At 57.6% G+C, this 12,916-nt stretch overlaps 1 long non-coding RNA gene across 1 annotated transcript, besides 7 other annotated features; it reads right to left on the reverse strand.

Annotated features, from left to right (window-relative positions):
• Nucleotides 271-320: a silencer, noted in NCBI's record as "silent region_96". NCBI's record gives its function as "represses an Ori minimal core promoter by ATAC-STARR-seq in GM12878 lymphoblastoid cells {active_cell/tissue: GM12878}" and the evidence as "EXISTENCE:reporter gene assay evidence [ECO:0000049][PMID:35858748]".
• Nucleotides 391-480: a silencer, noted in NCBI's record as "silent region_97". NCBI's record gives its function as "represses an Ori minimal core promoter by ATAC-STARR-seq in GM12878 lymphoblastoid cells {active_cell/tissue: GM12878}" and the evidence as "EXISTENCE:reporter gene assay evidence [ECO:0000049][PMID:35858748]".
• On the reverse strand, nucleotides 6,986-10,110 carry LOC124903822 (uncharacterized). The gene is made up of 2 exons (XR_007065353.1): nucleotides 8,211-10,110; nucleotides 6,986-7,251 (listed from the first exon to the last, which is right to left on the reverse strand). It is a non-coding gene; the product is annotated as an uncharacterized LOC124903822 (long non-coding RNA).
• Nucleotides 8,580-8,729: an enhancer, noted in NCBI's record as "active region_45". NCBI's record gives its function as "activates an Ori minimal core promoter by ATAC-STARR-seq in GM12878 lymphoblastoid cells {active_cell/tissue: GM12878}" and the evidence as "EXISTENCE:reporter gene assay evidence [ECO:0000049][PMID:35858748]".
• Nucleotides 9,587-10,406: a silencer, noted in NCBI's record as "silent region_98". NCBI's record gives its function as "represses an Ori minimal core promoter by ATAC-STARR-seq in GM12878 lymphoblastoid cells {active_cell/tissue: GM12878}" and the evidence as "EXISTENCE:reporter gene assay evidence [ECO:0000049][PMID:35858748]".
• Nucleotides 10,427-10,476: a silencer, noted in NCBI's record as "silent region_99". NCBI's record gives its function as "represses an Ori minimal core promoter by ATAC-STARR-seq in GM12878 lymphoblastoid cells {active_cell/tissue: GM12878}" and the evidence as "EXISTENCE:reporter gene assay evidence [ECO:0000049][PMID:35858748]".
• Nucleotides 10,427-11,409: a biological region, named in NCBI's record as "H3K27ac-H3K4me1 hESC enhancer GRCh37_chr1:1840895-1841864".
• Nucleotides 10,440-11,409: an enhancer, noted in NCBI's record as "H3K27ac-H3K4me1 hESC enhancer chr1:1840895-1841864 (GRCh37/hg19 assembly coordinates)". NCBI's record gives its function as "activates a minimal SCP1, AML or CMV promoter by ChIP-STARR-seq in primed H9 embryonic stem cells {active_cell/tissue: H9 hESC(primed)}" and the evidence as "EXISTENCE:reporter gene assay evidence [ECO:0000049][PMID:30033119]".

The raw sequence follows: 12,916 nt of genomic DNA on the forward strand, positions 1-12,916 counted from the left end.
GCAGTAGAAGCTTAAGCCAGCTTGCATGAAAAGAGGTAACTGACTGGCTCAGTGAATAGGAGTCATGAGCAGACAGCTGAGCCTCAAGCCTATCTGGATCCAGATGAGCCCGTCGGGCTCTCCCCCGGCCCACCCACCCATGGCTCTGTGTCCCCATGTGGCGCCTCCTCCTTTCTCTGCTGGGTAGAGCCCCACTGCCCCGTCACCCCCACCTCAGCAGTCAGACTGCTCAGAAGACGGCTATCCGGATGTTGACCCCAGGAGGACTCTGAAAGGCTTCACTCAGATTTTGTGTGGCTCCAACGGTAGTTAGTGGCTCTCAACACAAAGGCAGGGCTGTCGCCAGGGGGAGCAGAGGCTGCTGGGCATGGGGAAAATGCATAGGTGTCCCCACCTACCTCGTGGCTAAAAACTAGCAGCTGAGCAACAGCTAGGCTACTTATACCCAAAGCCTCTGTTGGTTGGTGAGGTCAAGGACATCGGATGGTTGGTTTCACCCATGGTGAGGTCAAGGACGAAGGATGGCTGGCTGCCCCTCGCTGAGGTCAGGCTGCCTCACCCTTGGCCTGACCCAGCCTGAACCCGGAGGCTGCGGACAGAGCCCACGGGGGTGGAGCAGGCTCAGGCCTCTGCTCTCCCCCTGCCCCCATGGCGTGCTGCAGGGCATCTTCTGGGGTGGGGTCATCGTGGGAGCCCCACGCCACCATCTGCAAGTCCTCTGCAGGGACAGTTGGAGCTCCCAACCACCCAGCCCCCAGCCCCATTTCCTGCCATGGCTGGGTGGCCCCTTGGCAGGAAGGCTACAGCTGTTCTCTGGGGCCCCCTCGGCCTCCCACAGGCCACCAGCATCCTCAGGCTGAGAGTGTGGCTGGCACAATGCCCTGCACACATCCTGGTGAGACGAAGGGAGAAGCTGGCACAGTGACCCAGAGAGACGGACAGTCAGAGCGGCCCACACCCACCCCCCAACACCTCCACACAGACAAGAGAGCAAGGTGGCCTAGGTAGGCACCGGAGACATGAGCAGACCGAAACGGGGACGCAAGACCCTCAGTGCCCAGAAAGTGGGGGTCTGAGAGAGGGAGCTCAGTGGGCAGGGCCTGGGGGGTGAGAAGGACTGTCTCGGAGGCAGCCACCCCAGCTGGGCCTTGGGGCTCTGAACCCTCAAGATCCCTTCTGGGGGCGCGGTGGCTCACACCTGTTATCCCAGTACCTTGGGAGACAGAGGCAGGCAGATCGCTTGAGCCCAGGAGTTTGAAACCGGCCTGGGCAATATAGTGAAACTCCATCTCTACAAAACATGAAAAAATACATTTTTTTTTTTGAGACTGAGTTTCACTCTTGTTGCCCAGGCTGGAGTGCAGTGGCGCGATCTCAGCTCATTGCAACCTTCACCTCCCAGGTTCAAGCGATTCTCCTGCCGCAGCCTCCTGAGTAGCTGGTACTACAGGCACGCGCCACTATGCCTGGCTAATTTTTGTATTTTTATTTTTATTTATTTATTTTTTGAGACGGAGTCTCGCTCTGTCGCCCAGCCTGGAGTGCAGTGGCGTGATCTCAGCTCACTGCAAGCTCCGCCTCCCGGGTTCACGCCATTCTCCTGCCTCAGCCTTCCGAGTAGCTGAGATTACAGGCGCCCGCCACCAGGCCGGCTAATTTTTTGTATTTTTAGTAGAGACAAGGTTTCACCATGTTAGCCAGGATGGTCTCGATCTCCTGACCTCGTGATCCGCCTGCCTCGGCCTCCCAAAGTCCTGGGAGTACAGGCATGAGCCACCACGCCTGGCCAAATGTTTGTATTTTTAGTAGAGACGGGGTTTCACCACATTGGCCAAGCTGGTCTCAAACTCCTGACCTCAAGTAATCCACCCACCTCGGCCTCCCAAAGTGCTGGGATTATAGGTGTGAGCTAGCATGCCCCGCAAAAAAAATAAAAATTACCTGGGCATGGTGGCATGTGCCTGTAGTCCTAGCTACTCAGGAGGCTGAGGTGGGAGGATCGCTTGAGCCTGGGAAGTTGACGAGGCTGCAGTGAGCTGTGGTTGAGCCACTGCACTCCAGCCTGGATGACAGAGCCAGATCCTGTCTCAAGAAAGAAAGAAGGAAAGAAGGAAAGAAGGAAAGAAGGAAAGAAAGAAAGGAAGAAAGGAAGAAAGGAAGAAAGGAAGAAAGGAAAGAAAGGAAAGAAAGGAAAGAAAGAAAGAAAAGAAAGAAAGAGAGAAAGAAAGAAAGAAAGACTCTTTCTCGGTCCCTCAACATCCTCCTCCCAGGCCTGGCCAAGCTTCCTGGCCTGAGGTGTCACCCGCCTGCCTAGATGTGCTTGGGGTGGGGTCCCTGAGGCTGGAGAGTGGGGAGACAGCACAGCTGGGCCACACTGGCCAGTGCAGGATGACGGAGGCTCCCACCCCATTCCAGTGCCCAGAGTGAGAGCAGAGGTGACTGGGTGGGAACCCAGGGGTCCAGGGAATGCGGGGGTGGCTGGACCAGCCCTGGCCTCCAGCTCCCTTCGCCTCCCCTGCCAGGGCCCTGCTTGAGGAAGAAGCTCAGGCAGCTCAGGAGATTCATCTTCCCAGGGGCGGCACCCCGGACGGGGCTCCTCCTACACCTGTCGGGGAAACAGTTCGCACCTGTGGCCTCAGCTGGTGGGTGGCTGGTCCAGCCACCAAGGTTTTCCTGACTGCGAGGCCCCTAGAGGTGCCCAGCTAAGGGGCTGCGGAGGGCAGAGCCTTCCCGAGCCCCCTGCCCACTGCCCTCTTGGGCCCTGCCAGGTAAGGGGCAGCCCAGAGATGGACCCAGAGTCCAACCTGCCTGCCCTGGAGCTGCCCTTCTGTCCCAAAGAAGCAGCTGGAGGTCACTGACAGGCAGATGCCAGCAGGGCCCTTTCCAGCAGTGGGTGGCCATGAGTAGCCTTCCCTGGAAGCAGGGGACCTGGTCAAGGCTCTCTCAGGATAGAGAGGCACCTAGAGGGGAAGGGCCAGGGGTCCTCCCAGGCTGGAGCTGCACTCCCACAGTGCAGCTGCTCACTGGGCGGAGCTCTTCGCCACGCCACACCGGGCTGCACGGGTCACAACAGTGCCTCGGGGGGCCGTCCTCTCCAACAGAAGACCCCACCACACTGCCCCGCCCTGTGAAGAGGTCAGGGACTCTATCTTTCTCTCTGGGTGCCAGGGTCCCACCTGCTGTCCCCACCCCCCACCCAGCTCAGGGCCCAGAGGTCTCCACAAGGGACTTCCTCCACACGCCCCACGCCCTTGGTGACTTGCTGGCTCCCCTTTGTTGGGTTCTGCCTCATGAGCTACTGTAAAAAAAAAAAAAAAGTGGTAAAGCCTGGGGGCGGTGGCTCACGCCTGTAATCCCAGCACTTTGGAAGGCCGAGGCGGCCAGATCACAAGGTCAGGAGATCGAGACCATCCTGCCTAACACGGTGAAACCCTGTCTCTACTAAAAATACAAAAAAATTAGCCGGGCATGGTGGCGGGCACCTGTAGTCCCAGCTGCTTGGGAGGCTGAGGCAGGAGAATGGCGTGAACCCGGGAGACGGAGCTTGCAGTGAGCTGAGATCACGCCACTGCACTCTAGCTTGGGCGACAGAGCGAGACTCTGTCTCAAAAAAAAAAAAAAGTGATAAAATACACATAAAATTTATCATTTTAACTATTTTTTATTTTTATTTATTTATTTTTAAATTTTTATTTTTTTGAGATGGCGTCTTGCTCTGTCGCCCAGGCTGGAGTGCAATGGCGTGATCTCGGCTCACTGCAACCTCTGCCTCCCGGGTTCAAGCGATTCTTCTGCCTCAGCCTCCCAAGTAGCTGGGACTACAGGCGCCTGCCACCATACCCAGCTAATTTTTATGCTTTTAATAGAGATGGGGTTTCACCATGTTGGCCAGGATGGTCTCAATCTCTTGACCTTGTGATCCGCCCGCCTTGGCCTCCCAAAGTGCTGGGATTACAGGCGTGAGCCACCATGCTCGGCCTATTTTTTTTCTTTTCTTGGTATGGGGGATCTCACTACGTTGCCCATGCTGGACTCAAACTCCTGGGCCTCCCTAGCAGCTCCGACTACAGGTGCACGCCACTGCACCGGGTGTGCTGTAACCATTTTCGAGTGTACAATGTGTGGCATTTAGCACATTCCCAGTGCTGCGTAGCCGTCAGCACCCCTGCATCAGAACACTTCACTGCCTCCAAGAAAACCCCATGCCCATTAAACAGCCACACCACCCTCCTCCACCCCCCTGGTCCTGGTAACCTCGGTTCCACCTTCTTTTGTGAATCTGGCTGTCGTAGATGCCTCCTGCCAGTGGAACACACAGCCTGTGACCCTTCATGTCTGGCTTCTTCCACCAAGCATAGGTCTCCAGGTTCATCTGCATCACAGCATGTCTCCGTACTTCCTTCCTCTTTACGGCTGAATAATATTCCACTTTATGGATATACCACATTTTACCCATACATTCATGAATGGATATTTGGGTTGTTTCCACCTTTTGGCTTTTTTTTTTTTTTTTTTTTTGAGCCAGAGTCTCGCGCTGTCGCCCAGCCTGGAGTGCAGTGGCGCGATCTTGGTTCACTGCAAGCTTCGCCTCCCGGGTTCACGCCATTCTCCTGCCTCAGCCTCCTGAGTAGCTGGGACTACAGGCGCCCGCCATCATGCCTGGCTAATTTTTTTGTATTTCTTAGTAGAGACAGGGTTTCACCGTGTTAGCCAGGATGGTCTTGATCTCCTGACCTTGTGATCTGCCTGCCTCAGCCTCCCAAAGTGCTGGGATTACAGGTGTGAGCCACTGTGCCTGACCGGCTTTTTTTTTTTTTTTTCTTAAATAGAGACAGAGGCCAAGCACAGGGGCTCAATAGTTGTAATCCCAGCACTTTGGGAGGCCGAGGCGGGTGGATCACCTGAGGTCAGGAGTTTGAGACCAGCCTGGCCAACATGGCGAAACCCTGCCTCTACTAAAAATACAAAAATGGGGGCCAGGTGCGGTGACTCACGCCTGTAATCCCAGCACTTTGGGAGGCCGAGGCGGACAGATCCCCTGAAGTCAGGAATTCAAGACCAGCCTGGCCAACATGGCAGAACCCTGCCTCTACTGAAAATACAAATATTAGCCGGGCATGGTGGCACGCGCCTGTAATCCCAGCTACTCGGGAGGCTGAGGCAGGAGAATCACTCAAACCTGGGAGGCGGAGGTTACAGTGAGCTGAGACTGCGCCACTGCACTGCAGCCTGACGACAGAGCTACAAACACAAAAAATTAGCCACGCATGGTGGCACACACCTATAATCCCAGCTACTTAGGAGGCTGACACAACAGAATCACTTGAACCTAGGAGGCAGAAGTTGCAGTGAGCTGAGACCGCGCCATTACACTCCAGCCTGGGCAACAAGAATGAAACCCGGTCTCAAAATAAATAAATAAATAAATAAATAATATAAAATAAATAAATAATTAGAGACAGGGTCTCGCTCTGTGGTGGGGTTGGAGTGCAGTGATGCAATCATGGCTTGCTGCAGCCTCAACCTCCTTGGCTCAAGTGATCCTCCTGCCTTGGCCTCCCAAGTAGCTGGGAATAGAGGTGCCTGCCACCATGCCTGGCTAATTAAAACAAATTTTTTTTGTAGAGATGGGGTCCCATCCTATTGCCCAGGGTGGTCCTTTAGCTATTATAAACAATGCTGTTATACACATTCCTTTTTTTCCCAAGACAGAGTCTCACTCCATCGCCCAGGCTGGAGTGCAGTGGTGTGATATTGGCTCACTGCAACCTCCGCCTTCCGGGTTCAAGCGATTCTCCTGCCTCAGCCTCCTGAGTAGTTGGGAATACAGGCGTGCCCACCATGCCTGGCTAATTTTTGCACTTTTAGTAGAGATGGGGTTTCACCATGTTGGCCAGGCTGGTCTTGAACTCCTGACCTCAGGTGATCTGCCCCCCCTCAGCGTCCCAAAATGCTGGGATTGCAGGCGTGAGCCACTGTGCTTGGCCACACACATTCTTTTGTTTGAACATCTGTTTTAAATTCTTTGGGACATATACCTAGGACCAGAGTTGCTGGGTAATATGGTAACTTTTTTTGATTTTTTTGAGACAGAGTCTTGCTTTGTTGCCCAGGTTGGAGTGCAGTGACATGATACTAGCTCACTGCAACCTCCGCCTCCCAGGTTCAAGCAATTCTCCTGTCCCAGCCTCCCGAATAGTTGGGATTACAGGTGTGCACCACCACATGCGCATAATTTTTATTTTTAGTAGAGATGGGGTTTCGCCATGTTGGCCAAGCTGGTCTCAAACTCCTGACCTCAGGTGATCTACCCGTCTCAGCCTCCCAAAGCGCTGCTATTATAGGCAGAAGCCACTGCATCCGGCCTTTATTTTTATTTTTTGAGACAGGGTCTCACTCTGTCACTCAGGCTGGGGTGCAATGGCACCATCACGGCTCAGTGCAGCTTCTACCTCCCAGGCCCAAGTAAACTCCCAAGTAGCTGGGATCACAGGCAGGTGCCACCATGCCCGGCTAATTTTTTTTTTTTTTTTGAGACAGAGTCTCGCTCTGTCACCCAGGCTGGAGTGCAGTGGCATGATCTCAGCTCACTGCATGCTCCAACTCCCAGGTTCACGCCATCCTCCTGCCTCAGCCTCCCCAGTAGCTGGGACTACAGGCGCCCGCCACCACGCCTGGCTATTTTTTTTTTTTTTTTTGAGACAGAGTCTCACTCTGTTACCCAGGCTGGAGTGCAATGGCACGATCTCGGCTCACTGCAAACTCCGCCTCCCAGGTTCACGCTATTCTCCTGCCTCAGCCTCCCGAGTAGCTGGGACTACAGGCGTCTGCCACCATGCCTGCCTAATTTTTTTTGTATTTTTTAGTAGAGACAGGGTTTCACAGTGTTAGCCAGGATGGTCTCGATCTCCTGACGTCGTGATCTGCCCGCCTCGGCCTCCCAAAGTGCTGGGATTACAGGCATGAGCCACTGCGCCCGGCCATGCCCAGCTAATTTTTTTTTAATGTTTTGTTTGTAGACAGAGGGTATCCCTATGGTGCCCAGGCTGGTCTCGAACTCCTGGGCTCAAGAGATCCTCCCACTTCAACCTCTCACTGTGGTGGGATGACAAGAGTGATCCACCGTGCCTGGCCTTGTTCTTTGTTTTCAAGATTGTTCTGATTATTCAGGGCCCTTGCAATTCCACATGAATTTGAGGATCAGCTTTTCCATTCTTGCCAAAAAGGCCATTAGCATTCATCACCTGTTTTCTGAAAAAAGATAAATTCTGAGCACAGGCCACAGTGTGGTGTCTTAGTCCTTCCAGCCTAACACGCTGACCAGTGGGGTCAGCTCACCAAGGGCAGGCGACAGCGTGATGGGAAGCAGCGGGGCTCTGAGCAGGGACATGACCCCCTCTGGCGGCTGAGAGGAGAACGTCCCGTAGGGCCAGGGTGACCAGAGAGGAGTGCAGATGGGCTGTGAAGGTTGGGCAGGGCTGAGTATTCCTGAGTGACAGATTTGCTGGTGGCACAGGGTCGAGGGCAGTGGGGGAGTCGAGGCTGACACCTGGGTGTTGTAAGCAACGGGGCAGCAGAGCCGTTACAGCGGAGGTGGGAGAGCATGGGCTGCTTTTTGGACCTTTTTAGCATGAGATGCTTCTAAATGTTTGGGTGGAGAAGCAGGCATGGGGAGGGTGTCTCAGGGGCCTGCAGAGCCACAGGCTGGCAGGGCACATGGTGGGGACATGTGTAGCTGAGGACTGTCCTGGAGCTGCCAATATCCCTGCAGGAGGGACTCCTGGGAGTGCTGGCCTGGGCGTGGGGAAGATGGGCAGTGTCCACCCAGGCCAGCTTGGCCAGCCCTTGGGAGTGGCTGAAGCTCTCTGGGGGTAGGCGTGAGAGGCAGGCCTGCCCCTCTCAGACTGGGTGTTGCCCCCAGGCCTGGGCTCCACTAGTTCCCATCTTCAAGGCTTGGAGATAACAGGCCTTGGCCTCAGGGAGTCCAGAATGTACAATGTCAGCCCAGCCCATCAGGGCAGTGGAGTCCCTGGGACTCATGACTGGGACCCAAGTGCAGCCCCGACATCTTCTGAAGTGGAGGCAGGCACCACAGCACATGCCCTGGGGCAGGAGGGGGCAGCTGTGGCCCTTCAGCAGGGCCATCCAGGCCCAGGGCTCCATGCAGAACCCCCAGGGTCTCAGCCCCTTGACTCCTAGGCAGGACTCACCCCAAAGCCACGGCCTTCTCCTGGGACTGCCCCTGGGGCCTGAGGCTGTTTGTCTAGAATGCTGTCCTGAGGCTCCAGCATGCTCCAGCGTGTGTCTCCTGGGAGCTGATGCAAGGTTTGCTTGGAGGAGGCAATAAGGGGTGGGGTACGGCATGGGGACCAGTGAGGTCCTGGAGGGGGCACAGGCCAAGGTGGTGGTCTGGGAGGCCTGAGGGCATGGGGGCTGCCCAGGGGTGGAAGAGGACCCCAAGCAGCAGGGATTTGGGTGGAACCAGGAGTCCTCAAGCAGGGGTGCTGCCCCTCCTGGGGAGGCTGGGCCTGCAGGTGCTGGGTGTTTTGGAAACCAGCAGGTGTGGCCAGGCACGTGGCCCCTGGAGCCTGTGGCTGACGCACATCTGAGACTGGCTGGGCGCTGCTGCACGCCTCCTGGAGCTCTGCCCAGGCTTGCCCTGGGGTCCCCTGGGGGTAGGCCCAGCCTGTCCACCAGACTTTTTTTTGTTTTTTGAGACGGAGTCTTGCCCTGTCGCCCAGGCTGGAGTGCAGTGGCGCGATCTCGGCTCACTCCAAGCTCCGCCTCCCGGGTTCACGCCATTCTCCCGCCTCAGCCTCCCGAGTAGCTGGGACTGCAGGCACCCGCCACTATGCCCGGCTAATTTTTTTGTATTTTTAGTAGAGACGGGGTTTCACCATTCACAGGATGGTCTCGATGTCCTGACCTCATGATCCGCCCACCTTGGCCTCCCAAAGTGCTGGGATTACAGGCGTGAGCCACCGCGCCCGGCCTTTTTTTTGAGATGGTCTCCCTATGTTGCTCAGGCTAGAGTGCAGTGGCGAGCGCGACATGGGCTCACTGCAACCTCGCCTCTCAATCACAAGCAATTCTCCTTCCTCAGTTTCCCAAGTTACTGGGATTACAGGCATGTGCCACCACGCCCGGCTAATTTTTGTATTTTTTTGTAGAGTTGTGGGTGGGGAGTTCGCCATGTTGGCCAGGCTGGTCTTAAACTCCTGACCTCAAGTGATCCGCCTGCCTCTGCCTCCCAAAATGTTGGGATTACATGTGTGAGCTACCTAGGGCCCGGCCCCCATCATACTTCTAAGGGTCTGTCTCTCCTGCCCTGCGGCCTCTCCAGCAGCCCCTGGGGACCACGGGGTCAGGCCTTGATTGGGCACCGAGCTGGGACCTCTGGGAGTGACCATGGGGAGGAAGCCCCCCATCACTGCAGAGGGTGGCAGGAGTGAGGGGCTGAGTCAACCTGACTCCTGGGGCCCTGCTGAGGCCAGATCCATGCCCGCCCGAGCCCAGGGCCTGCCCGTCTCAGGCTGGGTGTTGCCCCAGGCCCGGACTCCGGCAGTCCCCATCTGCGGTCCCTTTTGGGAGCTGGAAGGAGGCGGGACAGGACGGCTGCGGGGGTGCAGGGGCTCCTGGGCCACCGGGCGCGCTGGGGCACGCGCTGCAGGGAGGATCTGGGGCTCCTGGTACGTTTGGACAACATGACCCAGCTGCTGTCACATTCGAACGAGGCTGAAGAGGACGCGGACGGAGGAGCCCCGGAACCTGGCTGCCACTGCGCCCCGAGGTGGAGCAGGGAGTCGGGCCGAGCCCTCCGCGGCGCGGGCGGCTGCTGGCGAGGGGCCTCTCGGGAGCCGCGGTCGGGGCACCCTGCGGGGCCGCAGCCGGCGCCTCCGTTCGTTCCCGGCGACGGTGGGAGTCCGGAAGGGAAACTCACAGGGCCGTGTGTGACCGAGGACGGAGGGCGGCGCGGACGGCGCCGTGTTCGCAGTGCTCGAAATCCCCACGACCGGCCTCGGACGGCGACCCCGGCCGGCCCAGCTCCCACTCCAAGCGGGGTGACGCCAGACGCCCAGGCCCCGGGACCGCCCCGAGTCCGCGCGGCCTGCGAGCGCCGTCTGGTGGGAAAGCGCGGAGCTTCCGACGCGGGGCGGGGCTTCCAGGTGGGGCGGGGCCGAGACAGGGTGGGGCGGGCGTCAAGGCGGGCCGTGGGGGGGGGGGGGGAAGTGACGGGGCGTGGCCGGATGACGGGGCGTGGCCGGGTGACGGGGCGGGGCCGGGTGATCCGGGCTCCCCCGCCTTTCCCCGCCGCCGCTAGGACGCACGGCGGTGGCGAGCACCGGCTCCCACAGGCTGTGCCACGTGAACGTCAAGCAAGAAGCGAGAGACGGCCGCGCGCGGTGGCTCACGCCTGTAATCCCAGCACTTTGGGAGGCCGAGGCGGGCGGATCACCTGAGGTCAGGAGTTGGAGACCAGCCTGGCCAACATGGCGAAACCCCGTCTCTACCGAAAGTACAAAAATTAGCCGGGCGTGGTGGCGGGCGCCTGTAATCCCAGCTACTCGGGAGGCTGAGGCAGGAGAATCGCTTGAACTCGGGAGGCGGAGGTTGCCGTGAGCTGAGATCGCGCCACTGCACTCCAGCCTGGGCGACAGGGCAAGACTCTGTCTCGAAAAAAAAAAAAAAAGGGCGAGAAGCCTCTAGTGCAGCGCTAGGCCCCACCTCAGGGCGCGCTGGGCTTCGCTCCTCCTCCCCCACTTCGCAGAGGGAAGCTGAGGCACAGCCCGGCTTTATGGAACCCAGCTGAGGACTGCGGATGGCGGGAGAAGCCCTGGGGCCGCTCTCGCTGCTGGTCCGGGGCTGCTGGCAGCTCTGCGCGCTGGTCCCGGAAGGCTTTGTTCCAAGACAAGCCTGCATTTCCCAAAATAATCCATGGTTTTTAGGGCTGGTAACCTGCAGCCCCTCCGCCGGCCTGCCCTTTCTCAGAAACAACCACTTTCAACTATTTGAGCTCTTTCCTCTGTTTTGTTTGTTTGTTTTTGTTTGTTTTATTGTTGTTTGTTTTTGAGACAGGGTCTGGCTCTGTCACCCAGGTCGGAGTCCAGTGGCACAATCCCAGTTCACTGCAGCCTCAACCTCCCTGGCTCAAGCGATCCTCTCACCTCAGGCTCTTGAGCAGCTGGGACCACTGACCACTCCCGGCTGATTTTTTTTTTTGTATTTTTGTAGGGACAGGGTTTCACTATGTTGCCCAGGCTGGTCTCAGACTCCTGGCTCAAGCCATCTTCCCACGTCAGCCTCCCACAGTGCTGGGATTATATGTGAGAGCCACCACGCCTGGCCCTGAATGTACTTTTATAATGTGACTTTCTGCTTTCTATTTATGCTTCTTTCTCCCCTCCTGTGTTCTGTTAGATTTATTACATTTTCGTCATTATTTTTTCCTCCACAGGTGTGGAGGTTATACAAGCAGTTTCAGTCATTTTAGTGGCCACCTTAGAGGTTTCACGTTGCGTTTTAGGCCCAGGGCATTGTCTCTAGCTATCTCCTGTGCGGTGCTGGGAGTGCAGGGCCCTGTGGCTCACATCCCCTCGTCCTTGTGGGGTCTGCGGGTCTGGAGTTCGGGCTTCACTTTGTTTTTTCACCCTTGTCCAGGCCGGGCTCCCGTAAGCAGATACTGAGACGAGGACTCAAAGGGACAGTTTTTTTGGGGGAATTCCAGGAAGCCACCGTGGGGCAGCTGGAGGTGATGAGGGTGGGAAGGGGCCAGCCCAGGGCTGAGCAGATGACACTGTGTGCAAGGGGCCATGGCTCCGGTGTTCACCCCATCACTGTTGCTTGCCCTGGGCTCTGCTGAGGAGGCCTCAGGCAGAAGCTGCACAAGGAAGGGAACGGCAGGAGAAGCCGGGAGCCGTGAAGTCCTTTTCCTACTGAGCCCGTGCTCCAGGCCCAAGGGAGCCCTGTGGGTCCAGACCCCGTAGATGCCGCAGCAGCACCGGGTCCACTCGACCGCAGCGAGGTTCCGGCTGCAGCTCCACCCTCAGAGCCAACCTCATGCTACCAGGGCAGGTGGGGCTCGGGGGAACCAGTGTTGCCTCTGGTTTGGGTCCTTCCAGCATTGGGGGTGGGAGTGTCAGCTCTTCCTATGGAGTGGTGAGCAAACCTGCAGACGCGGAAGCTTCAGAGCTACCTGGGGATCAAACTCCAGGGGACACCCACCTGGATGTCCCCACCAGGGCCCTGCCGGCTCTGATTTAAGTCCTGGGCTTGGTCCTCCGAATCGCTGCCCTCCCACTGCAGAGTGGAGAGCAGAGATGCTGCCTGAACCACAGAGGGCCCCCGACGCTCACACTTGGGCTCACCCCTGGCTTTCAAGTGCCCCTTTCTCTCCTTCTACCATTTGTAGCCTCGATTGGTGGCAGTTACCTGGTCCATCCCTCTGCCCTTCCAACACACCACCAGTGAGTGTAACAGGTGACTGTGCAGGGGCTTGTGTCTTCGTCCCGCACTGGTGCCTGGTTGCAGCTTGGCAGCGGGGGGTCCACCGCCAACATCCATCATGTCACAGCTGGGGCTCCCCAGAAGCTGACCCTGAGATGGAGTTTGGGATAGGAGCTCCCTGTTAGGGGTCAGCCCCTGTGACAGGAAGGGGGAAGCAGAACCAGACAGAAGGGGTCCTAGACCACCTGCAGGGACCATCAGAGTCCTGCCTGTGGACACAATGACCACCTTGTGTCATGTGGCTCAGGTGGGGTGGGTTTGCAGCTGAGGCTGCTGCCCTGGAGTGGGGCGGGGTCTCTCAGTGTCTTCTCACTGGAGACCCTCAGTGGCAGTGGTGATGTCTGCGGTGACCCTCTGTGGTAGAAGCAGGGGGATGTGTATATGTGTGTATGTCTGTATATATACGTCTGTC

This window comes from Homo sapiens, chromosome 1 (genome assembly GCF_000001405.40).
Source record: "Homo sapiens chromosome 1, GRCh38.p14 Primary Assembly".
NCBI lineage: Eukaryota > Metazoa > Chordata > Mammalia > Primates > Hominidae > Homo > Homo sapiens.